General features: G+C 38.5%; 1 protein-coding gene and 1 long non-coding RNA gene across 10 annotated transcripts in view, besides 4 other annotated features; one reads left to right on the forward strand and one right to left on the reverse strand.

Moving 5' to 3' along the window:
• The window catches only part of MYO1D (myosin ID), a 384,603-nt gene that overhangs the window by 332,859 nt on the left and 24,873 nt on the right, over positions 1–26,871 (reverse strand). The gene's annotated exons all lie outside the window — the stretch shown is intronic.
• Positions 2,471–2,765: a silencer, noted in NCBI's record as "tiled region #12414; K562 Repressive DNase matched - State 5:Enh". NCBI's record gives its function as "represses a minimal TATA promoter and a strong SV40 promoter by Sharpr-MPRA in K562 cells {active_cell/tissue: K562}" and the evidence as "EXISTENCE:reporter gene assay evidence [ECO:0000049][PMID:27701403]".
• Positions 2,615–2,724: an enhancer, noted in NCBI's record as "active region_12037". NCBI's record gives its function as "activates an Ori minimal core promoter by ATAC-STARR-seq in GM12878 lymphoblastoid cells {active_cell/tissue: GM12878}" and the evidence as "EXISTENCE:reporter gene assay evidence [ECO:0000049][PMID:35858748]".
• On the forward strand, positions 2,696–26,016 carry LOC124903981 (uncharacterized). Of its 4 annotated transcripts, none has more exons than XR_007065713.1 (4): positions 2,696–2,799; positions 5,942–17,377; positions 18,216–18,320; positions 25,600–26,016. It is a non-coding gene; the product is annotated as an uncharacterized LOC124903981 (long non-coding RNA). The 4 variants fall into 4 exon arrangements; XR_007065714.1 differs by lacking the exon at positions 25,600–26,016 and having other exon boundaries at positions 5,942–6,002; positions 17,208–17,377; positions 18,216–18,542; XR_007065715.1 differs by lacking the exons at positions 2,696–2,799; positions 25,600–26,016 and adding an exon at positions 3,158–3,178 and having other exon boundaries at positions 5,942–6,002; positions 17,208–17,377; positions 18,216–18,542.
• Positions 2,765–2,834: an enhancer, noted in NCBI's record as "active region_12038". NCBI's record gives its function as "activates an Ori minimal core promoter by ATAC-STARR-seq in GM12878 lymphoblastoid cells {active_cell/tissue: GM12878}" and the evidence as "EXISTENCE:reporter gene assay evidence [ECO:0000049][PMID:35858748]".
• Positions 10,327–10,376: an enhancer, noted in NCBI's record as "active region_12039". NCBI's record gives its function as "activates an Ori minimal core promoter by ATAC-STARR-seq in GM12878 lymphoblastoid cells {active_cell/tissue: GM12878}" and the evidence as "EXISTENCE:reporter gene assay evidence [ECO:0000049][PMID:35858748]".

Genomic DNA, 26,871 nt, shown 5'->3' on the forward strand with positions numbered 1-26,871 from the left:
TCCCAGGATCAAATGATTCTCCCACCTCAGTCTCCTGAATAGCTGGGACTACAGGTATGTGCCACCACGCCTGGCTAATTTTTGTATTTTTTTGTAAAGGCAGGGTTTCACCATGTTGCCCAGGCTGATCTCAAAATCTTGGGCTCAGGCGATCCATCCACCTTCGCCTCTCAAATTGCTGGGATTACAGGTGTGCACCACTGCACCCGGCCCAATTTTTCTTTAAGCAAGGTCACATGCTCATATGCGCAGAGTTTTAAAACTATTGATAGTTTTAATTGATGGGCATGACAGAAGTCGAATGCTGCTTCCTTAACAGAATACTCATTTCACAAGTGATATATGATATTAAAATGCTATAAAAATGTTTACCATAGCCAGGTGTGGTAGCTCATGCCTCTAATCCCAGCACTCTGGAAGACCCAGGCGGGAAGACTGCTTGAGCCCAGGAGTTCAAGACCAGCCCAGGCAATATAGCAAGATCTCATCTCTACCAAACATTTAAAAAATAAGATAAAAATTAGCCAGGTGCTCTGGCACACGCTTGTAGTCCCAGTTACTGGGAGGCTGAGGCAGGAGGATTGCCTCAGCCCAGGAGTTTGAGCTTGCAGTGAGCTATGATGGTGCCACTGCATTCCAGCCCGGGTGATAGAGTGAAACTCCATCTTAAAAAAAAAAAAAAAAAAAAAGTGTATTACTACTTTATTCTGGGGGTTAACTATTCTAGGGAGAATACACTTCCTGAAGAATTTTGAGGTATTTTAGAGATCTTGATGATACATTCTCCCTTCCTCTCCAACTATTGGTTAGTTTGCCCCATCTCATTTACTCTCAAAGCATTCTGTACTTCCACCTTCACATAACTTAACCATACAAGTCTAATAAAGACTTGCCTGTTCACCTACCTGCAATCAACACCTCCCATCCCCACCCATTTAGCAGAGCCTGGCATATAGGAAGTCAACAAAAGTTTGTTGATATGAATGAATGAATGTTTTTAAGGCCTATGTGGAAAAAATACATAGAGATGCTTTTCTTACAGTAGCCAGCTTACTACCTTAAAAAGAATAGGAGCTTAAATATTTAGTTGCAAATGAGTAAATCATGGCTTGAAAATTTATTTGTAGAAAAATGTGCATCCCTTCAGTAATTTCTATGTTACTAAAATCTGAAATCTAACAAAACTTGACATTTAATAAAACTGAATACAATGTAATTTATACAGGTGACACCACACACCAAAAATCCTGCCCTGATATAGAAGACCGTGGACACTGGATCTTCCACACTCTTGTGATAGGAGAAAATTTCTATCTGAATAGAAGACAAACTAGTACTAATAGCAAACTAATTTAATGGACATAAAAATATCTTGAGAAAATATTTCAGAAGTGCAATATTTGGTAATGCATTTATCATACTGTTTCATAATTTCCAGCTAAATTCTGATACAATCATAGTTGAAAACATATACATATATATATTTTAAACTTTTAAAAAATGCTATATCAGTATATTAGGAAACATGGGAATGTAAAATATAAAACATGGGAATGTATGTTAGGAAAAATGGTGCCACCAAATGTGAAAGACAGTATGGTAGTTCCTCAAAATATTAAAAATAGATTTACCATATGATCTAGCATTCCATTCCTGGGTATGCACCCAAAAGAATTGAAAGTAGAGGCCTGAAATTTATTTGCACACTAATGTTCATGGCAGCATTATTCATAATAGCCAAAAAGTGGAAACACCCCAGATGTCCATCGATGGATGAACGGAGAAACAAAATGTGGTATGAACACACAATGGAATATTATTCAGGATTAACAAGGAAAGACATTCTGACACATGCTATAACATGGATAAACCTTGAGAACATTATAATAAGTCATATAATAAGTTGTGACTAAGTCAGTCACAAAAGGACAAATATTGTATGATTCCATTTATATGAAGTACCTGGAATGAAAAAATTCATAGAGGCAGAAAGCATAATGGTGGTTACCAGGGTTGTGAAGAGGGAGGAATGGGAGTTATGGTCCAATGGGTAGAGTTTCAGTTTGAGATGATGACAAAGTTCTGGAAATGGGTAGTGGTGACAGCTGAACAACAATGTGAATGTACTTAATGCTACAGAAATACTGAACTGTACACTTAAAAGTGGCTAAAATGGTAATTTTATGTTACATATATTTTACTACAATAAAAAAATTAATAAGCATTTTGTAAAAAATGTTTGTATTTATTTCTCTATTTTTAAAACCTCCAATCGATTCAACTGACATGAACACCCCCCAAAAAGGAAAGAGTAGAAAAAAAGACATCATTAAGTTTAAAGGCAAACTCTAGAATCTACAGCCCACAAAACAGATGGTCAGTGACTATGTACACAAGGAATTGTCTTTTATGCCAAAGCAATGAGGAAAAAGTAACCTTGAAAAAAAATCCAGCTCTCACTTAAGCAGAAAAATATTTTCAGAAATCTGATTTACAAGTAAAATATGATGCTTATCATTACTTATAAACTGCAGTTTTCACTAAAGAAATAGGGATAACATTACAAAGCATTAAGAAATAACTCTTACCAAGTCAGAACCACACCAATGGCAAAAGCACATGATCACAAACCGCTAAATATTGGACAAAGACCAAAACCCTGAGCATGGGAGAGGCTGAAAGCACAATGAAAAACACTTCAAGTTAAGGATGAGTGAAAGAAGCTGACGTGGAAGCCAGGGATACTAATGGCAGGCATTATTTTCCAGAAAGGTCCTGGGTAAGAGGTCATTGTTCTGTGTAAGTAAATTGGATTCTGTTTGTTTTCTCCCGTGCTATCAGAAAGAAGACAGGAGGCCGGGCGCAGTGGCTCACGCCTGTAATCCCAGCACTTTGGGAGGCCGAGTCGGGCGGATCACCAGGTCAGGAGATCGAGATCATCCTGGCTAACACGGTGAAACCCCGTCTCTACTAAAAATACAAAAAATTAGCCGGGCATAGTGGCAGGTGCCTGTAATCCCAGCTACTCGGGAGGCTGAGGCAGGAGAATGGCGTGAACCAGGGAGGCGGAGCTTGCAGTGAGCAGAGATCGCACCACTGAACTCCAGCCTGGACGACAGAGCGAGACTCCGTCTCAAAAAAAAAAAAAAAAAAAAAAAAGAAAGAAGACAGGAAACAGGTGTGTACGTGAATGAGTCAAGCAGAGAATGAGCAGGCTCTGGCCAAGTATGCCAGGTTCCAAATGTTCTCTCTAAGCTACTACATGCAGAGAGGGAGGGAGGGAAAATGCTATGTAAGCCAGTGGGCAAAATCAATTATTTCATATTATTTAAAGAGGTAAAAGGGGTAGAAAAGCTAACCTATTTTGAATGCCTGCTTCGTGCTAAGAGGCAAGGTGGTGCTAGATATGCATTTTTCTCATTTAAACTTCAGAGCCACTCTATGGTGTTGTATTCTGTTCTATCAGTTCTGTTGGTGCCATACTACTATACTATATTCCTGCTATGGAAACGGAGGCACACACATACAAGTCGGGTAAACCTGCTTAAAGCCACACTATTAGTAAGTGACAGTCAGAAGGCAGACCTTGGGTCTGACTCCAATGCTCAGGACTTAATCACTGAGCTACACTGCCTCAATTCCACACAGACAGGAGAAAATAAGTTAGGAACAAAAATGGAAATGCTAGAAAGAAAATATGCTATGGTGTGTGCCAAAGTAAACTACAAAACATTTGCTTTTAAGATGAAATCTTGAAATAGTAGCAAAAAGAGAGTCATCTAACAGGGAGGAGCTAAGAAAGTATTAGAACAGGGGAACTAGATACTTAGATTAAGGGCATTTTTGAGTAAGGTCTTCTCAGGGTGCTTTCATTTACCTCCCCACCTTTTGGGACAGATATTTATCAGAACATCAGACAAAGTCATTTTCAAGTGGTGGATAAAATGATTTGGCTAAAAGTTATTTTATGCACTTTGAATTTATACACATACCTCTGGCTTTGCAGCCAGACCTGAGGTTGTACCCTAGTTCAATTACTTTCTAGGGGTAGGAACTTGAGTCTCATGCTGTTCTTTTCTGTTTTGTTTTTGGAGACAGAGTCTTGCTCTGTCACCCAGGCTGGAGCACAGTGGCGCAATCTCAGCTCGCTGCAACCTGCACCTCCTGGGTTCAAGCTATTCTCATGCCTCAGCCTCCCAAGTAGCTGGGACTACAGAAGTGTGCCACCAAGCGCAGCTAATTTTTTTATATTTCAGTAGAGACAGGGTTTTGCCATGTTGGCCAGGCTGATCTCAAACTCCTGGCATCAAGTATCTGCCCACCTCGGCCTCCCAAAGTGCTGGGATTACAGGTGTGAGCCACCAAGCCCGGCTTCATGTTGTTTTTTAAACTAACAAGGAAATGAGAGAGATACAGAAACTAGAGTACATGCCTTGTGGGATTTTTGTGAAGCAGAAATGAAAAGTCCCTAGCATGAGACCTATCATAAATCGGTCTCTCCAACCCACTCACCGCTAATCAAATAAACAGACATCTCTTCTATGAATAATTTAATTCACATATCATCAAATTTTCCAGGTAACTGAAGCTTAGCCCTAGAGTCCTGTCTAAAGCTAGAGAGAAAAAGAGCTCCCAGAAAAGGCATGAGACAGTCTTCTTATGAATAAAGTTAACTGATTACAATATATATTTTAGTTTCCATTAAATAAATTTTACTTTATTCTCTTTATCTGTGCTCTGGATAACTGAGGTAAACCGAGAAAGTGATAACATTTAAATCAAGATACTCAGCATTAGCACAAAATTCTCCATCTGATGAAAATATGTGGGATGCTCATTTTCGAATAGTCAAGTGCAGTAGTGAGAAGGGGGTAAAGAGTAGAATAAGGAGTTTGATCTGCAAGTGACTGAACAATCAACTGAGATAACTCACTACCTTCAGACCAGCCACGATGCTTTAAATAGCATTTATCACACAATTATCATTGAATATAAGAAAATACTAAAAATGTATAACAGCATAGTACCCCCAGGAGCTACTGTCCTAGATTAAAGTGGGATGACTGCAAGCAGGGTAGACAGAAAGAAGGCTGTGAAATACAGCAGAACATGAAGCTAATAAAAATGAATGTGGCAGAGACATTATCTAGTGAAATAAGATGTTAAAAACACAGTAAATGAAAGGATACAGTGTTGTACTGCTCAGTGGTATGAACCCATTTTTATTCTTTAAAATCATATAGGCATTTATCTAACCTATATAAGCAGAAAAAACTCTGGGCAGATAAACACAAAATATTAAGCATGGTTATCACTACATGGAATAATTGGGTTTTTAAATTTTTCCTAATACTCATTTTCTGATTTTTCTACACAAAAAGCGTTTTTAAAAAATACCGATATGGGCGGTGGCTCATGCCTGTAATCCCAGCACTTTGGGAGATCGAGGCGGGCAGATCACGAAGTCAGGAGATGGAGACCAACCTGTGTAACGGTGAAACCCGTCTCTACTAAAAATACAAAAAATTAGCTGAGCGTGGTGGCACGCACCTACAGTCCCAGCTACTTGGGAGGCTGAGGCAGGAGAATCGCTTGAACCCAGGAGGCGGAGGTTGCAGCAAGCTGAGATCATGCCACTGCACTCCAGCCTGGGGGACAGTGCAAGACTCCGTCTCGAATAAAAAAAAATACTGACATGAGTGCAAAAAGCAGGTATAGATTAAGTTTTCATAAATATATTACTGACTTGTGATCAAGAGAATATTGTCAGACTTAAGAAAGTAGAAGTCAACACAATACTAAGCAGCAATTTAATAGAGTGCTAATCTAATCAGAAAAGGCTTCCAAAATTCTGCCGAGAAAGAGAATAACATTTTTTGAAGCACATGATATTCGCTTGGAGGAGAAAGAAACAGCTTTTTGTTATTTTTTGCTGTCTTAGATCACGCTGAGTTTTTACTGCAAGAAACCTATGAAAAGTACCCATTACTAATAGCACTCAGGTAAGTCCTCACAGATGAATTTATTTCACTTTTGTTCTCACTAATTTGTGAACATTGCTTAGGAAACCCCAAGCTGATGGAGCATTAAGTGCTTTCAGATAATGAGATACTTAGTAATCCAACTAAAATATCTGTTTAAAGAGGAATGTGAGCATAGGGCTTCCACTAATTTGTTTTTAGAATGATGGCTTAGGATCACTTACAAAGTAACATATGCTCAAATCTAAATAAACAAGGTAAACAGCAATGTAATTAATTATTGATGCAATACAAAGTAATAACCAGAATTGTGTGCTGTTAAAACAATGTACTGCATTTAATAACTCAATTTGTGCCCCAGAGAATAAGATTACTTTTCTACATACTTAAATGCTGGGGTGTTTGTACTTAGGTTTACATATTATTCTTAAACAAATATTTAGGTAAGTTCTCAGTGATATGCTGCTTTCATTTCCTGGAATTTGAATGGCCTGATCAGGTAACCAGGGATGCTGTTGTCATTACACATAAGGGCAAGGCATCTTTTACCATCTCCTAACTTTTCTAGGTGAGGCAATGCAGGGGAAACTAACCTTGGAGTCCAACACACCTGGGTCCTCATCTCAGCTCAGCTGTGTAATTTTGGTCATCATCTCACTAGGATTCTGCAGTGTCATGTATACACTAGATCTTAGCCAAAAGGCCACGAAGCGATACATTGTCATGTATAATATGGGGGTTTTCTTTTTTCTTTCTTTCTTTTTTTTTTTGAGACAGGGTCTTGCTCTGCTGCCCAGGCAATGGTACAATCATGGCTCACTGCAGCCTCAGCCTCCCTGGGCTCAGGTAACTCTCCCACCTCAGCTCCCTTGACTCCACTGCTGGAACTACAGGCACGCACCACCACACCTGACTAATTTTTTTCTTTCTTCTTTTTTTTTTTTTTGTATTTTTTTTGACATGGAGTCACGCTCTGTCACCCAGGCTGAAGTGCAGTGGCACAATCTTGGCTCACTGCAAGCTCCACCTCCTGGTTCATGCCTTTCTCCTGCCTCAGCCTCCCGAGTAGCTGGGACTACAGGCGCCCGCCACCACGCCCAGCTAATTTTTGTATTTTTAGTAGACACGGAGTTTCACCGTGTTAGCCAGGATGGTCTCGATCTCCTGACCTTGCGATCTGCCCGCCTCGGCCTCCCAAAGTGCTGGGATTACAGGTGTGAGCCACTGGGCCCGGCTCCTAATTATGTATTTTGCATTTGTTAAAATTAACTTGCAGTCTGTGAATACACATGAATGAGAAGAGCAAGCTAAGAAAAAATTAGGTGTTCTGAGTAAAAGCAGCTGCATTAAAATGGCGAATTTCACCAATTTTATTGACGTGAGAAAAAGGCATGCTTTATTTTTAAACGAAAAGTAAATGTAAAGAATAGAAGTTATATATGATTTAAGAATCTACTGTTCTTTAAAATACAAAGAACTAAGAACTTTTAACTTTGGTACAAGTTGGCAGCTTAATTTATCTGATCTATAAAATGTTTTTATGCCTACAAAACAATCTGAAATTTCTCCCAAGGGACGTTTACATTATTTTAAAGTAGTGTTGTATATGGTACTCCCCCGAGTCTCGGGTGCTCAAATCATAAACTATGCTCACAGTAACAAGTTCCCTCAGAATTAATTTATATTTCCAGCTTGGACTTCTAACCCAAATCTCAGAACTGTACATCCACTTGCCTACTTAGCATTTCTACTTGGATGTCTAGTGGCCACTTCAAACGTAGCATGTTAACACTGAGCCCCTGATAGTGTCCCACACCTGCTCCTCCTGCTCGCTATACCCCATGTCTCATCTGTCAGTAAAGTATGTCCAGAATCCATTTATCTTCAAAGTATATCTAGAATCTGTTTATCTTCAAAGTACATACAGAAGCCACCCGTCTTCAAAGTATATCGAGAATCCATCTATCTTCAAAGTATAAACACAATCCATCTCTCTTCAAAGCATATCTAGAGTCTGACTACTTCTCACCACCTCTGCTGCGATCACCCAGGTCCAAGTCACTATCACCTCTCCCACCTGAATTATTGTATAGCTTCTTAGCCAAATGGTTCCCCTTCAATTTATTCTTAAAACAGCAGCCGGAGTAATTCCGTTAACATGTAAGTCACATCATGCCATTCCTCTGCTCAAACTCTCCAATGGCACCCCAGCTCCAATGGCACCCCAGGAAAAATGTCAAGTCTTTCTATCAGCCTTCCTGGCCTTACTGGCCTTCCTGACCCTGATCCACCCACAGCTCTGACCGGATCTCCTTCTGCTCTCCTCTTCACACACGCTTCACTCCAGCCTTACTGGCCACCTCCTTGCTCCTCTGAACACACTAGGCAAGCTCCCATCAACAGGTCTCTGCATCTGCTGTTCCCTCTGCCTGGAAGTCTCTCCTCCCAGCTGTCTGCGTGGTTCACCTTCCTTCAATTCTTTCTTCAAATGCCACCTTCTCAGTGAGGCCTTCCCTGGCCATTCTAGATAAGACCCCCTACTACACCTCCGAACACTCCCTCTCTCCACATTGTGCTTTTTCTCCACAGCATTTATCACCAACTAATGCACTATATACTTTGCTTCTTTATCATTATTTTTAGTCTGTCTCCCCCCACTAGAATTAAAACTCCATGAAGGCTTGCATTTTTGTCTTTTTTGCTTACTATTTTACCTGTCAAGACAAGGATGGTGCTCAGCATATTGTAGGCGCCCAACAGATGTTTGCTGAATAAATGAACTTCTCCGAAATGTAATAATACCTGATAATATGTTTAGCCTGATCAATATTAATTAAGTACAACAGACAGAAGTCCCAGAATTGTCATCAAATTAGTAGAACACTTTGGGAGGGATAACAAATTGCTCATTCATTCATTATTCCAGTCACTGGAAAAACAGAAATGAACAAGTACATATGATACCTGTCCTCATGGAGCTTGCAGTCAAAGTGAAGGTGTCCACTCCCCTGCCCCATAACCAGAACCAAACAGTGCCTGTGGGTAAGGCCAAGGTCACCTGGCCCCCAGTTCTCCAAGCTAACAACATGTGAATTATCCTCAATTCTTTCTTCTCCCTCACCTTCCAAAACAATTACCCAATTTGTCATCAAGACCTCTTGAGTCTACCTGAGGAACGTTCCAAATGCAGTCCAACTCTCCAACTCCACTATCATTCAATTCCTCATCCTACATCATCTGCCACTTGAGAACTGCAGCATTCTCCAAACTAGGATCTCACCACAGGCTCTCCTACTCCAATCTGTCTTACAACCTTAGCTGGAGTTACCTGCCCCAAAACAAACACTGTTCCTTTTCTTAAACATTTTTTGGCCAGGCACGGTAGCTCCCACCTTTAATCCCAGCACTTCGGAAGGCCGAGGCGGGCAGATCACAAGGTCAAGAGATCAAGACCATCGTGGCCAACATGGTGAAACTCTGTCTTTACTAAAAATACAAAAATTAGCCAGGCATGGTGGTGCGCCCCTGTAGTCCCAGCTACTCGGGAGACTGGGGCAGGAGAATCCGCTGAACCCGGAAGGCGGAGGTTGCAGTGAGCCCAGATCGCGCCACTGCATTCCAGCCTGGTGACAGAGTAAGACTCTGCTTCAAAAACAAAAACAAACAAACAAAAAACCACATTTCTTCAACCGCTTCCCATTGCCTACAAAAGGATATATACAAGGTCCTGCACAGTCTGGTCCCAAACATACCTTGACAAGTACAAACACAGCTCTGGTTTTTGGTTTTGCTTTCTTTTGGGGTTTTTTTTTTTTTGGTTTTGTGTTTGTTTGTTTTGCCAGATACCATACCCTGCCTGGCTGCTTGGCAAATACCCATTAATCCATTATTCAATACTCAACTAAAATGTTACCCCTTCTGTGAAGCTCTCTCCTATTCCCTGCACAACAGCACATTTCCCTCCTCTAAGCTCCTATAACATTTGTTATACTTCTGTCACAGCACTGAAAAACATGATCTGTTATCATTTGCATAGCTTCCTTGGTCACTACTGAAAGGACCATGACTTAGTTATTTTCGGATACTCTATGCTTAGTAGAGGGCCTACAACAGAAATGCACTCAATAAATAACTTGAATAAATGAATGAATAGCATTGTCACAAAGAGCTTTCTTACACGGCCCTGAAATGGATTCCCTGGCATAGGTTCTACCTACTGTTACTGGTTCTGCTTGAGATCACAGAGAACATAACCTACTCTTGTTCACATGGATGCCTTCTGATTTGAAAGCAGACATCAAGTCCTTCTGGGTCTTTCTTCTCCCAGACAAGCATGAGTAGGTCTTTCAGCTTTTGTCACATATCACAAGCTCACATCTCTTTAACACCTGGTCATGCTTCTTCTGAATTCATCCTAGATTATTTATATCCCTTTAGAACGGTGGCACCTAAAACCAAGTGAATATTAATTCCTTTGTTGTAGTCACAACTCTTCAAGTAATCTAACCTAAAAGAGAATTAAGATTTGGGGGTTTACACTAACTGTTGGTTCATACTGCGCTCACTATGGACTGAAAATTACTTTTAAATGTTTTAAATAAGATTTGTTTGCTTTCATTATGAGTATAATGCTCATTCATATTTTTGTAAGCTAAAAATAGGAAGAAAAACAAATCTCATTAACCAAAGACATCTAAACCACTGCATATATTTTGGTAAATTAGTATTTTAATGCAAAGGGGGTTGTGTTTTACACTCCTCCAACCATATGATATATTCACAATTTATACATATTGCAACATATAATATTTTTAAGTATTTCTAGTTGACAGTAACTGCCATTTTTACCTATTAACCATATGCTATTCTAACAACAATCCTGCAAGTGTATTTGTGATTTAGAGAAGAGCATACTGAAGCTTAGGAAAATTAAGTGACTTGCTCAAGGCCATGTGTTATTTTTCCCTCAGTTTATCAGTAAGGAATGTTAAAGAGCACATATAGGGCATAGTTTGCTGAATTTGGACACATGGATAGTCCTAACCCCCTTAGAGATCAATACATAGAATATTTCCATCACACCAGAGGGTTCTCTTCTGCTCATTCCCAGTTAATTCTCCCACCCAGGGGTAACCACTATTCTGCCTTCTATGACGATCAGTCACTAATCAATTTGCCTACTCTTCCATCAAATCAGTGGAATCATTTAGTATGTACTCTTTTGGTCTATCTTCCTTTGTTCAACATAGTGTTAGTGAGAATCATTCATGTTGTTGTGTGTGTCACTAATTTGTTATTTCATTATCACCATACAGTATTCTATATAGGAATATACCACAATTTAATTACATTAACTATTATAGTTACATAATGACATCATATAATTATATTAATTATTACATTAGATTATACCACGGTTAAGCCATTCTCCTGTTTATGAACATTTGGATTATTTTCAGTTTTGGTTTAGTTTGAATGAAGCTACTCTTTTTACACTTTTAAAAGTCTCTTGGTAGACATGAATTCTTCTCCTGAGTATATACCTAGGAGTTAAATCGCTAGGTCATAGGATAGGTATAGAGTTAGCCTGAGGAGATACTGCCAGTTTTCCAAAGTGGCTGAAGTAATTTACATGTTTCCCAGCAATGTGTAAGAGTTCCAGTTGCTTCATATCCTCACCAATATTTTTTTCCTTTTTTTTAAATGGTTCATTCTGAATCCTCACCAATATTTGATTTTTGTCAGTTTTTAAAATTTTAGCCATTCTGATGAGTGTGTAATATTATCTCATTGTAGTTTTAGCTCCCATTTTCTTGATGTGCAATGATGTTGTGGACTTTTTAAATGTTTATTGATCATTTGGTTATCTTCTTTTCAAAGTGCCTGCCTTTTCTTTTTTTTTTTTTAACTGGGCTGTTTGTCTTTTTTTTTCTTTTGGTAGTTCTTTAAATGTTCTAGCTATGAGTGCTTTGTCAAATCTTATATTATATAGGACCATAATATATAATAAAAATCTTTTCCCAGACTGTGGCTCATGTTCATTGTTAATGGCTATGCATTACTCAATTAGATCTAACCACCGTTTAATGATTCTCTTACTGCTGGACATTTAGATTATTTTCTTTCTTTCTTTTTGCATCCCTAGGTGGGCACAAATAGACTATTTCTAATTTTTGCTTTAATTAAACACTGATAACCAAAATTTAAAGCTTTATTTGTATCTAAAATCTTTCCTTCATCCATACTCACAGAAGTTGAATTACTGAATTAATGTACACAACCATTTGGTATTGATGCAGACAGAGCCAAACTGGTTCAGAAAAATTCTATCAGTTGATACTGGTGCCCAATAATGCATCATAATACCAACTCACCATGTCCTCACCAACTCTGGCTTTTCCCCTATTTTTTATCAGTCTGATAGGACAAAAAATTTGTATTTCATTGTTTTAATGTTTAACTCAGTGATTACTAGTAAAATCGAAATTACTTTTGTTTAGTCATTTATATTCTCATTTTCATAAACGGTCTTCATTTTGTGTATGCATTTATCAAGTGCTTTTTAGAGTTCTTCTCATTCACTAAGGTATTGTGCTTTTCTTTTCATATAATACTTTACAACATTTTTATTTTTATATTTACTGCAATCATTTCCCAAGATGTAATGTTCTTTGTGCTTTTCAAATTTTTATGTAGTTGGATCGGTGATCACACCCAAGCTTAGAAATATTTTTTCCCTACAATATTCCCCATAAATCTAAGTATTTCCCTATAAATATTCATGTCAAACTATATTCTTAAAATTAAAAAAATTAACTCTTTAATGCCTTAGCAACCTTTTTGGGGGTACTATTAACATACTGGTCTCATCTCTAACTCTTATCTTTTTCCAAATTAATAACCAGCTCTGGCAATACCATTTATCAAATATTCTTTTCCTCTTCAGATTTATGATGCATACCTTATCATTTATTAAATTTTTAGACACGAAATAGTCTGCTTCTGGACTGTCTTTTCAGTTCCATCGATTTGGTCTTAGCCTTATAATTATTTCATTTGACCAATATTTACTAAGCACCTGCATCACGTTAGATTGTAGGGATAAAACAGGGAACGAGACATAGTGACTAGATAGTCACTATTTTTATGGTGCTTGAAGGCTAGTGAGAAGATGGAGACAAGTAAACAGACAGACGGGAAAAGTACAGGCAAGAGCTCAGGCTGGAGAAGTATTAAGGGCGAGATCACACAGGATATTAAAGATCTAAAAAATGAGTTTGCACTTTATCTTGAGAGCAAAGTAAGCCACCGAAGGGCTTCATCGGGGGCAAAGTGTTCAGATAGGCATTTTAGAAAGATCACTTTATCTATAAGAAAATAAAAATAATTTACTAGAGGAAGTCAGGAGTACAGTCAAGGAGCCCACTTAAGGGACTATGAGGAATATTAACAACTGACTCAATACTCTTCTTCAAACTTTTCTATGCTACTTTCACATATTTAGTTTCCACATAAACTTTGAAATTGTTTAGTCAATTTCCCTCCTATACACCCAACTCCAATCCAATTGTGATTTTATTTGGAAGTACACTAAATGCTTAATATATGAAAAATTACAACTTGATTACATATAATTTTCCATAAGGTTTTTAAACAATTGCTATTCAGCCATGTTTCCTTCCATCATATATTTTTGCAAGAATAACATAAGTTGTTAGCAAAACAAAAAACAAGAAAAACAAGCAGAGTAGGAACACCTTAATAGTTTGTCTCAAAGTACAGGAAATGTCAAGAACTAAAGGAAAGCAAAAGCAAAAAGGACTAAGTCTAAGCCAAGAAGGTAGACTAAGCTGTTGGAGAGAACTATATGGACAATTTGTTAATTCAGTGTTAAACAGAGGTATACCTTGGTCCCAAGGAAGAAAGAACCTTATTTTTCCAAGAGCCAAGAAGTGAATAAAGAAAAAACTTCAACCTGAATTCAAAGCAAGCTGGAGCCTTATCAAAATAATTGTAACCTATAGTGGCAGGGCCTAAGAACCAAAGGAGTGGAAAAGACCTGCCAGAGAATTTAAGTGCTTTTAAATTGGGCCAGACTAAGTTAGGAGTAATTGCGTGTGGCTTTAATCAGTTTGAGTTTGGATTCTCTCATACCATAGTGCAGTAAGGCTGTGAACCTGGAAACACTGTGAGCTGGAATATGGACAGCAAGTTGAAGGTAAGGGGCAATTCCAGAGAAAGGCAGAGGATGAAGGGAAGCATGGGGAAGGAAGCTCACCCTATAGGAAGAGATTAATCCTCCTCAACCTCTTCAGTACAAACAAGACAGGACACATAATTCTGTGAGTGGACAAAACAGAGATACTGCTCATATTTTTAGGCCTGTATTTACTCTCAGGATTTTTAATGCATTTTTTCCACAGGGGATTTGTTATTCTGAAAATGGGTTGAGTCTTATTTTGCAACGTGAATAGTGAGATATTTAATACAAGGCAAAATTTAAGAAATTGAAGATCTGACGGTCTGACAAAACTACCAGACACATAATGCCAAAAAGACATAGTTCTCATTCACTTTCCTTTCCAGGGCTGCCATTCAAAGCCGTCTCCTTTTAGAAAGAAAGAATATTTACACAAAAGATCTTGTTTCAATTACAATTTTCTTGTTCCATCTTTTTATGTGGGCAGAGCATAATTCCTTCATTCAGGAGATGTTTACCCCACTGGAGGCACTAGGGCTATAAAGATGAAAAGAGAGATGTAGTTCTTATCCTCCTGGGGTTCATATACAACAGATTATACAGATAAATAATTAGATAATTACAACAAAAAGCCCAGGGTGTTACTGGCGCACACTGGAGAGGATCTGGGGAGTTCAGGAAGCAGCCTGGAGGAAATGGCATCTAAAGGAAGGTTGCAAGGGTATCTCATACGACCCAAGGGTTAGGACCAAGATAATTAGAACCAGATTCTGGAACAGAGCTTTTCTCAACGTGGGAGTGATTTACAAGTATGACCTCTCAGAACACTGCAGAGTACAGCTTTTTACCTGGGTTCAGATTACAGGTGTGTCCGCCAGCCATAAGCACAGCCTTGTCCATCTCCTTCAATGGGCAGTATTTATATTACCATTTGCTATGTGTGTCATGACATAAAAAAGGTTAGGAATCACTGCTTGTAAAGAACTAAGGAAATGTTTTTGCCTTTTGGCTATAATTCATTCTTATTCTCTCCCTCTCTTACTCTCTCGTCTTTCTTTCCCCTCATTCTTCTCTACTCTTTTCTACTCTTCAACCCTCAGAACTTGACTCCCAACAATTCCAAAACATACACATTCTGAATTTCAGCCACCAAAACAGAGAGAAAGATGATTTCATTTCAAATATAAAGTCCTGGGGAAGAACTGTGGTTGGTCCAGCTTGAGTCAGATGCCCATCCTTGGACAAATCAACAGTGACCAAAAGGCAGGAATGTCTTGTGCAGATGATCCCTAACTTATGATGGTTTGATTTTTTTGACTTCATAATGGTGCAAAAGTGATACACATTCAGTAAAGACCATACTTCAAGTACCCATAAAACCATTCTGTTTTTCATTTTCAGAATGGTATTCGATAAATTACAGGAGATATTTAACACTTCAGTATAAAATAGGCTTTATGTTAGATGATTTTGACCAACTGTAGGCTAATGCAAATGTTCTAAACATGTTCAAGGTAGGCTAGGCTGAGCTACGATGTTTGGTAGGTTAAGTGTATTAAATACCTTTTTGACTTACAATAGTTTCAACTTATGATGGGTTTATCAGGCTGTAACCCCATTGTAGGCCAGGCACAGTGGTTCACACCTATAATTCCAGAGCTTTGGGAGACCTAGGCAGACAGATGACTTGAGCCCAGGAGTTCAAGACCAGCCTGGGTAACATGGCAAAAATCCCACCTTTACAAAAAATAGAAAAAATTAGCCAGGCACGGTTGCATGCTGTAGTCCCAGCTACTCAGGAAGCTGAGGTGAGAGAATCACTTGAGCCTGGGGAGGTCAAGACTGCAGTGAGCTATGGTTGTGCCACTGCACTCCAGTTTGGGTGACAGAGTGAGACCCTGTCTCAAAAAAAAAAAAAATACACAACCCCTTTGCAAGTCAAGAAGCATCTGCATTTAAATTGTAGCTCCCAGAGTTACCATCTGGCTGGATTGGAGAAAAGGGCACTATTCAGATAAAATAATAGGTGTCTACTACAAAGTTTGGATGCTGAAGGGAAGCATCTGGGAGACAGGACAAGGATGAAGATTCAAAAGAGTAAAAAGATAATTTCAGAGATCAATGTCCCTGTGAGGGTGAAAAAAGACAGGACTCACGATAGGGTAGGCAGAATTAGCCTAATAGAGGAGGATAAGCCCCCATCTCCTATTGCAACAGGAAGGAAGGAAGAAAGAATGGATAAAGATGCGGTCTTTAGATGTGCCAGAGGAAGTGGGAGTTCAGGTCTGCAGGGTATTTCTCTGGGAAGCAGGAAGGTGATGCAGGAGACAGGGAGTAGGCTAGTAATAAAAGATTAGTGAAAAGGCTAAGAAAGAGACATTACACAAAATAAGAGAGAGAGAGAGCAGTCTAGGGAAGCACAGAAGTAACGTCCATAAATTTGAAGATCTGAGTGAGATTAGCAATTATACATTTATTTGTACCCATCTGTGCAGTAGTAGTATTTTCTCCAGCAAGTCTCGGCAGCCCCAATATTGGATCTGTAGGGACAAATTAAGATGAGCCATTTGATAGTTCCAGGACTGGGGTTTTGCCAGGTGACGGTCCCTGAAGGTCAGCGGAACAAGGCAGTTTAAGACTGGGAAGACAGGGATACAATGGAGCTTGGACTGAGAGTTGTGGGTCTGAAGGAAGAAGAAGCAGTATGAGAACAATAAAATAGAATGGCATTCTGGGAGATAACCAAGAACACAGGGGATGTGAAGCGTAAGTTACTGCAAGGTTTCCGAGACAGTTAATCCCAGCAGTGCCCAGGTGGACAGGGGTCACTTAGGACTCTTAGGAGTTGGCTGCACACTGGATTAATGGGGTTTCTGATATTTTTCTTGATTAGAAATATGCAGTTATTCCTCAAAGTCTTTATATGTAGATACTTTATACACTTTAAGGGGCTCTCTTTCGCTCTCTTTCTCTTTCTCTCCCCCACTCCTCATCTGTTCCTATAAAATGCCTGCATTCTTTCTCAGCAAAGGTGATCTACCCCAACCAGACAAAGCTGTGTGCCATTTCCAAGATGTTGCTGGCACTCGAACTTTCACTCAAGGTGTCTTACATACCTTCTCCTCACTCTCATTCAGAATGTGCTTCCACATTCTATGCGCTCAGACTTCAAAATCTCACCAACTTCAACATCCAGGTAAGTATCCAATTTCTTCTAGGAAAGTCTCTAAGATTCTACCTAACCCAAATCACTATTTCTTTCAATACACAAGTTTTTCGTACTCAACACAGTTATACTGTCATTTGTTTTATTTCTATTTCTTTCTTTTTTTTTTTTTTTTTTTTGAGATGGAGTCTCGCTCTGTAGCCCAGGCTGGAGTGCAGTGGCACGATCTCAGCTCACTGCAACCTCTGCCTCCTGGGTTCAAGCAATTCTCCTGTCTCAGCCTCCCAAGTAGCTGGGACTACAGGCACCCGCCACCATGGGCCAGCTAATTTTTGTATTTTTAGTAGAGACAGGGTTTCATCATATTGGTCAGGCTGGTCTCGAACTCCTGACCTCAAGTGATCCGCCCGCCTCGGCCTCCCAAAGTGCTGGGATTACAGGCATGAGCCACCATGCCCAGTCTACGTCTATTTCTCTTTAAGGACAGGAATTCCTCTTAAATTCAAGTTTTAAGCCAAAATATGTGTGAGTGTAGCTGGAGCCTAAGAAAGACTATTGACTTAAAGTACACAGCCAGCCAAACATGCAGACAACCATCTTTTTATTCTAAAGCTTACATACCACACTGAGTATCCATAAAGAACAAACTCCGACGACTAAGGAAAAAATAGAGAAGTGTGCTTATACAAAATGTATTCAAAGCTGCACAATAACCTGCCAAATTAGTAATGGAATGTCAAATGAATCAAATGGAAAGCATAATACTGACTACTAGCCTTATGTTTATTAGTCACTAAATCATCATGTATTCTATCTGGCATGCTAAGAAAATCCAAAGTCACCAAGCTTTATTTTCCCCTATCTTAAGGAGAATAGAAGAGATGGAAATAAAGGAGGCAAGAATGGTTTACAGATCCAGCTGAAACCGAATGGAAGGAAAGGCAGTGGATTTCATCAAGATCCTACAGACAAGGTGTAAGATCTGTAATTTCGAAAGGACATATACACAAACTCATTCAGCCACATTCCAGTCTAGAATTAACATGAAGAAAATCTATTAACAATGGTAAAGCTTTTTTCCTCTCCAAATGAATATGGCAATACCCATTCTGGAGAACTCTTATTCTCTGTTGAAATAACACCACTTTTCTATATGGCCATCTAGCAATAAATATAAAAATGGTTAATTTGCATACATTTGACTTCTTGACTTCTTATTTTACTTCTAGGAATCTATATTAAGAAAAAAGATAAATATATTTTATATATACACATATACACACACACACATATATATACACATACATACACACACAAGGATATTTATCAGCATAATGATAACCTTATTAACAAAAAACTAGTATCAGCTCACCAGTAAATTTATTAAATATTCTATTATATGTAACACAACAAGTAACATATAAATACATGTATAAAACATATACTGATAAGTGACAAAAGCAAGTTTAAGAACAGTATTAGGCTGTTCTTAATATGTATATATCATGTATGTGTATATATAATATATAATATGTATATATCATATATGATATATATATCATATGTATATATTATAATATGCATATGTATATATTATATAATATGTATATGTATATATTATATGTGTATATATATTATATATAGTATATATGTGTATATATACTATATATAATATGTATATATGTGTATATATACTATATATAATATGTATATATATAATATGTGGCTCATAACTGTAATCCTAGCACTTTGAGAGGCTGAGACAGGAGGATCACTTGAGGTCAGGAGTTCAGACCAGCCTGGGGAACATAGCAAGACTATGTCTCTGTAAAACATCTTCTAAAAATTAGCTGGGCATGGTGGCACATGCCTGTTGTCCCAGTTACTACAGAGTTACTAAGGCAGGAGGATTGGTTGAGCCCAGGAACTTGAGGCTGCAGTGAGCTATGATCACGCCACTGCACTCCAGCCTGGATGACAGGGCAAGACCCTATCTCTAAAAAAACAATGTATAATGTAATATAGTTTTATAAAAATAAATTTTAAAGTAATACTGATGTGCATGTACCATATAATAATGTCAAATGGGGTATGACTTCTGGGAGACTTTCTCTTTATAAATCTTGTGTTTATGAAACACTTGAGTTAGGAATTTTGTATAACTTTGTATTATATTCATAATTAGAAATGTATAGATATTTTAAAGTAGATGTATATCTATTGACACGTAAAATGTCAACAGTACACCTTTTAAATGAAAAAAATGCAGCTTAAGGCAACATATTCACGTTTCTAAAAAGTTACACACATACCAAAGGAAAAAAAAAAAATCTGGAAGGCTACACCAAAACATTGTCGATGGCTATTCTGGGTGGTGAGATTTTTGTGTGATTTTTGCTTTCCTCTTTGTAACTTTCTATTTTGACTCCCTTTTTAAAAAAATTAAGACCACATACTATTTTTATAAATGAAGTTTTCACTTAAAAACTTCGTCTTCAATTTTCACTAGTAAACCTTTTTAATAACTAAAAAGGTTCAACAATACTGACTTTAATTATGCTTCCTCTCCCTATTCACTCAATAGCCTCTAGGTTTACCCCTGCCTAAAGAATCAGCAGTAGAACAGGAGAAGTAATAGGACTGAGATTATCAACAAAAAGTGGTTGGTTTCAGCTTTGCTACGAAAAAAAGATAGAGTGCCATAATATTGATAATGTCATTTTATATTTTCAACTGATGATTTCCAAAGAGGTTTTACAACTACAATCATATTTGGTTCTCAAGTCTATGAAGATGGCAGGGAAGTATAATTCCCCCTTATAAGATAAACAGTCTCAGTTAGAAGAGGTAGAGGGATGTATCCAGGTTCTTGACTTGGGGAGTGACAGCGTTGTCCTGCATAGTTCAATACAGTAGCCACGAGCCACATGTGGCTATTAAACTTAAATTAAAGGGAAATAAAAATGCAGTTCCTCAGTTGCACTGGCCACATTTTAAGGGCCCAATTGCCACAGGTGGCTCGTGGCTACTGCTTTGGATAGTACGGTACAGAATATTTCCATCATCACAGAACTGATGTGATTCCCACTCCAAGGACATTTTCCACTCCTGTGGTGGCTTTCTACACCCTTGCTTTGCCCACTTAAAGTAAAGGAAAATATTATTTGAGCATCTTACTCTGAATGGTACGAGCTTCTGAAATACTGTAGAGGAAAAAAAAAAAACTGCTGAATTCATAATACAAAGATGGCTAGGGTAGCCAGAGAGTGGTGAGTAGTGGGAGAAGGTACAACGAAAGCCTGAAGGGTGATAGAGTGAACTCTGAGGGTTGCCTACTTAGCACCTATTCCCTCTCTTCTTCCTTTTAATAGGACTAAGATTTTATTTTGGTATCTACCCCTACCCAACATGGGCTTTGTCCCACAGAGTTCAGGAACAGGCCTGCAATGCAATTTGGGCTTCGTCACACAAGACAAAAAGTTAGCTGATAAGAGTAACACCTTTTGAGGCTTTGGTCTTAACCTCTGAAAGGCCAAACAGCAGAATACCTACTTCAACATTATCTCAGGCATTAACCAAAAAGTGTATGTGTATCATGTGATCACACACAGGACTATTAATAGTTATAGCTCATCAGCATAACAGAGTCCACAATATGAGCCAAGCACATCACTCTGTTTTACTAATATGTGTAGTATTTCTATTAGCTTTATTAATATGTGTACAGGTGAGTATCTAGGTACATTCTGAGGTTAAAAAAATCTAATTTTGTGCTTTGTGTTTTGAAATCTACAATCTGAAATAGAAATACATTCTTGCAAAAGTAAATTACAGTAATAATTAAATAAAAAGGGAAGCAGACTGATAATACAAACATTAACAAGCACATTATCTAAGTAGACTTTGTGGAGAACATTACTCCTTTTGTAGACAAACATTTATAAAAATTTAAACAATCAAGACAGGTCAGGCACAGGAGTGATAACTGATGCCTGTAATCCCAGCACTTTGGGAAGCCGAGGCAGGAAGACTGCTTGAGGCCAGGACTTTGAGACCAGCCTGGGCAACATAGCTGCCCAGCTAAATTTTTTTAAACAAAAAATTTAAAAATTAGCCAGGTGTAGTGGTCTGTGCCTGAAGTTCAAGCTACTCGGGAGGCTGAGGTAAGAGGAATGCTTGAGCCCAGGAGATTGAGGCTGCAGTAAGCTATGATCACACCACTGAACTCCAGCCTGGGGAACAGAACGAGACCCTGTTTCAAACAAACAAACAAATAAGTAAATAAGACAGAATAGGGAGATTAGATGATAGCACAATTCTCCTCTTTATAGAATTTACAGAATCATAACATTAAACAAAACAACCATTTAAAAACTATACCTGAATTTAGTAATTTAATTCCATGTAGCCCATGAGTCTTTTAAGAAAAATCCTAATTTGGGAATTCTTCATACATGGCATGAATGAGTTAGATACAGAATGTCAACGATGCCAAACTTTTATAGAATGGAACATCAGTACCAAAAACTATCATGCAATTTTCAATGGAACAAACATGGTGAAAGTTACGAGTGATTTTGGAATCACAAGCATATATATGCTGCTTTGTTCACATACTTCAGAGAATAATTATAGCCCAGAGAAAAGAAACTAAATCACTGGCCCTAAGCAGAAAGACAGTGGCCACTTGCCATTTTTTTCTCAGCTAAAGACAAACTGCAGGACATATCTTGGAACTTTGGAACTGTCTCATCAGGGACTCACAAAAATGTCCCAATGGGATAGAATAGTTATTACTATTATTTTGAGACTGAGTCTCACTCTGTCACTAGGCTGGAGTGCAGTGGCACAATCTCAGCTCATTGCAATCTCCACCTCTGGGGTTCAAGCAATTCTTGTGCCTCAGCCTCCCAAGTAGTTGGGATTACAGGCATGCCCCATCACGCCTGGCTAATTTTTGTATTTTTAGTAGAGACAGGGTTTTGCCATGTTGCCCAGGCTGATCTCCAACTCCTGGGCTCAAGCAATCCACCTGCCTCAGCCTCCCAAAATGCTGAGATTACAGTCATGAGCCACCATGCCTAGCCAGAATAGTTATTATTAATACATGTTAAAAACATGGCTCAAACCAAAGAAAGCTTAATATTGTCCTCAGCACACAACAGTACCTATACAGTAGAATAAGAACCAAAGATTGTTTATACAAAAATTAATTCACTGCTGAAAAAGGCACTAACTGAGAAGCCGTAAAGTACAAGTATTTCCTACAGGGTACCTGCTATGTACAAGCTTCTGTCATTCTGTTTCAGAGAAGATGCTGAAATGAATACACATGAATGAAAGTGTGCAGTGTGTACTATGAAAAATGGGCCTCTCTCCGTTCTAGTTAGTTAATTTATTTCAGATTAAATGAGATTTAAGATATGACTCCTGGACCAGGAAAAATGCTATAAAACATATGATTAGGGCAATTGTAAAATCTAAATATGGACTTTGGTACAAGATTATTATCTACCCCATGTAAAATTTCCTGCTTTTCATAACTATGCTGTGGTTATGTAGGAGACCCTCCTTGTTCTTAGGAAATTCACATCGAAGAATTAGGGGAAAGGGGCAGGATGTCTGCAACTTACTCTCAAATATTGGTAAGTGAGTGATAAGGCAAATGTCAAACAATTGATGAATCTGGGTGAAAAGTACATGGGAGTTCCTGTAACTTTTCTGAAATTTTAAATCATGTCAAAGTAAAACATTACCAAAACATTAATTCTTTACATTTCCTTATGAAAACAAGTAGTTCTGTGGTAGTCAAGTCTCAGAATGATCAAGAAGACTAAATGTTTTGTATGTTACAGAGGCCATTAGTGGGCTTGAGGAGTTGCCATACTCTGTCCTTAGCTCTCTGTTGCTTACACTGGATTTAAAACGGATTCACTCCTTAAAGTGGAAATACTCTTGTTTCTGTGGGGTATCAGTCCCTGATGACTTCCAGCTTGAATTACTGGTGCCGTTGCTACCTAACCACAGTCCCCCGTCCCACACCCTTCTTGCCATAGTAGGTAGCTGGGCTCATTCAGTGCAGTAGTCCCATGTCTCATATTTGTTCCTTAAAGTACATGCTTTAAGAGAATAAGCCACATTGTAATAAAGGGGCTCCTAGATGACCATTTCATAGACACTGCCAAGTTCCCTAACATTCTTACGTACCTGTGCAAAGTTACATAAACATATATTATTAAGTATAAGAAGAAATAAATTGTTAGAAATAAACATGTAGTAAGACATGTAAAACTGGAACACAAAATCCCTTAAAAATTAAGTGTTTTCCATGAAAAAATGCTCATCATCACTGGCCATCAGAGAAATGCAAATCAAAACCACTATGAGATATCATCTCACACCAGTTAGAATGGCAATCATTAAAAAGTCAGGAAACAACAGGTGCTGGAGAGGATGTGGAGAAATAGGAACACTTTTACACTGTTGGTGGGACTATAAACTAGTTCAACCATTATGGAAGTCAGTGTGGCCATTCCTCAGGGATCTAGAACTAGAAATACCATTTGACCCAGCCATCCCATTACTGGGTATATACCCAAAGGACTATAAATCATGCTGCTATAAAGACACATGCACACGTATGTTTATTGCAGCATTATTCACAATAGCAAAGACTTGGAACCAACCCAAATGTCCAACAATGATAGACTGGATTAAGAAAATGTGGCACATATACACCATGGAATACTATGCAGCCATAAAAAAGGATGAGTTCATGTCCTTTGTAGGGACATGGATGAAACTGGAAATCATCATTCTCAGTAAACTATCGCAAGAACAAAAAACCAAACACCACATATTCTCACATAGGTGGGAATTGAACAATGAGATCACATGGACACAGGAAGGGGAATATCACACTCTGGGGACTGTTGTGGGGTGGGGGGAGAGGGGAGGGATAGCATTGGGAGATATACCTAATGCTAGATGACGAGTTAGTGGGTGCAGCACGCCAGCATGGCACATGTATACATATGTAACTAACCTGCACAATGTGCACATGTACCCTAAAACTTAAAGTATAATAAAAAAAAATTAAGTGTTTTCATCTTACAGCTGTAAAAATAAGTTTGAAGCCCAAATTGTGGACTTTTGTGTCCCTTCTACAGTTTAAAACAAAACACGGAAGGAAATACACTTCACTATCATGACATGTAATCCACAAATTACATGTCTAACCCTTGAGCTTCTTTTAGAAACTCTCCTCACTAATTTGCCTGTGTTTTTGAATAGCAAGTAATATGTTTTCAATCATGAAAGGTTACAGGGAAATTTTTGTGGTAAAAACTGGCCTTCCACTGGCATAAAAATCATCAGTCTTACTGCAATCCTTTGGGAAATAACTTTTTTTTTCCATTATTGTCAAGCAACTTTCAAACCAGTTTAATAGCTACTGTTCTTGAGATGGCTCTTTACATCCTTTAAAACTGATGTCACTCAAGACCATGTAAGAGAAAACAATGATGGTAAGTTTCATAAAGGAGTTATTTCTTTACAATATTTTGAGAGAGAATCAAACTATGTGAAGTTTTAAAAATAACAATTATCCACTGATACTTAAATGGACAATTGCCCATCCTCCAACACATCACACACTCAGACCTGAACTACTGCACTACTCTTTCACCATGGGTACAACAATCCTATCAAAGAATGCAGCCACTTTATTTTGAAATAAAATTGTATTTGATATTAATTTTTTAAAAGTATTCTTCAGGAAAAAATGTCTGAGCAGTATAAAAACTAAGTGACTTTTGTAAGTGCTCTATTTACCTCTCTTTCATTGTTTCTCTATAATTCCTCTGATTAAACACTGCTCCACTTTGTAATATGAAGTAATTTTGCACAGGAATAACACAGTAGAGTAATGCTGTCTGATTTTCTTTCTTCTCCCTAACTCACTCTTATGTACCCTGTTTTTTGTTTGTTTGAGATACACCATATAAGGACATACCAAGTTTTCTAAAATTTAACTACAAGCATTAGTGAATTTGAGGGGAATGGAGTCTTATCAAGGCTTGGATTGGGCTTGATCACCAACTTACCATGGGAGTCAATCTCTGTCTCTTTTTTCTCATTTATGAGAGAATAAACCTCCCTGTACCTACTTTAAATTTTAGTTAAGAATACTTATGAAAACTTTTTTTTTTTCAGATGACCAACTGTTTACTTCATTTCTCCCCTGCACCTAGGCTGCCAAGTACTATGAAAAACAACAACAACAACAACAACAAAAACTCAGGTTGACCAATTGGAAACTCTATAAATCCATGGAGTTCAACATCAGGAGGACCTTTGGCATTGTCTGGTGATCCTTGTACTTGTCCTTCAACAGCTCCCAAATCAGAAGGTAAACCTATTCACTCTCACCTCAAGTCGATGTTTCTACCATTCCCCCCACTCTCAGCCAACATCTTGCCTTCTATTTCACAAAGCAAAATAAAATCCAATAGACAGAAACAACTCTGACTTCCTGCCACTTTACCTACATCCACCCTAATCCTGACCACCTTTTTTCCTGAGCCTGAAAAAGAGGGAGCCCCAGAGCTCTGGAACCCATCCTCTCTCACTTCCTCAAGCATCTTGTTCCATCAATGATCAACTCCAATTCCCACAGACATGCCTAAGACTCTTCACCTTTAAAAACAAACAACACAATATTTTCCACCAGTTCTGCAGCCCTTCTATCAAATAGTCCATATCCACCTCATCTACTCCTCAGCTCAATGCAACCTGGCTAACTCCCTACCATTCTACCAAGGCTTCCCATCACCAAACTCAATGGTCTCCTCCATTCTTTGCTTCTGTGATCTCTCTACAGCAGTGGTCCCCAACCTTTTGTGCACCAGGAACAGGTTCTGTGGAAGACCATTTTTCCATGGACCCAGGGGGGTGGTTTCAGGGTGAAACTGTTCCACCTCAGATCATCAGGCATTAGAGTCTCATAAGGAGTGTGCACTCATAAGGAGTGTGCACACGCACAGTTCGCAATAGGGTTTGCACTCCTCTGAAAATCTAATGCTGCTCATCTGTCAGGAGGTGGAGCTCAGGCTGTAATGCTTGCTGGCCCGCTGCTCACCTCCTGATGTGCAGCCCAGCCCGGTTCCTAACAGACCACCGTACCGGTCAGGGGCCTGGGGGTTGGGACCCCTGATCTACAGCATTTACTACTGCTGTTGTTTCCTTCTAGAAATTCTCTCCTCTGTTAGTTTCTCTCGTACCATTACTTTCTAGTTTATTTCTTTTATTGACTCTTCTTCCCCTAAAACCTTCAAATGTTAGAACTGTCTGCCAGTGGAAGTAGAAATTGATATGACCATTTTGAAAAACACTTGATGAAATGTAAAGTTTTTTTTGTTGTTTTTTGAGACAGGGTCTCACTCTGTCACCCAGGCTGGTATGATCTCAGCTCACTGCAACCTCTGCCTCCCAGGTTCCAGAGATTCTCTCACCTCAGTCTCCCC

This window comes from Homo sapiens, chromosome 17, assembly GCF_000001405.40.
Source record: "Homo sapiens chromosome 17, GRCh38.p14 Primary Assembly".
NCBI lineage: Eukaryota > Metazoa > Chordata > Mammalia > Primates > Hominidae > Homo > Homo sapiens.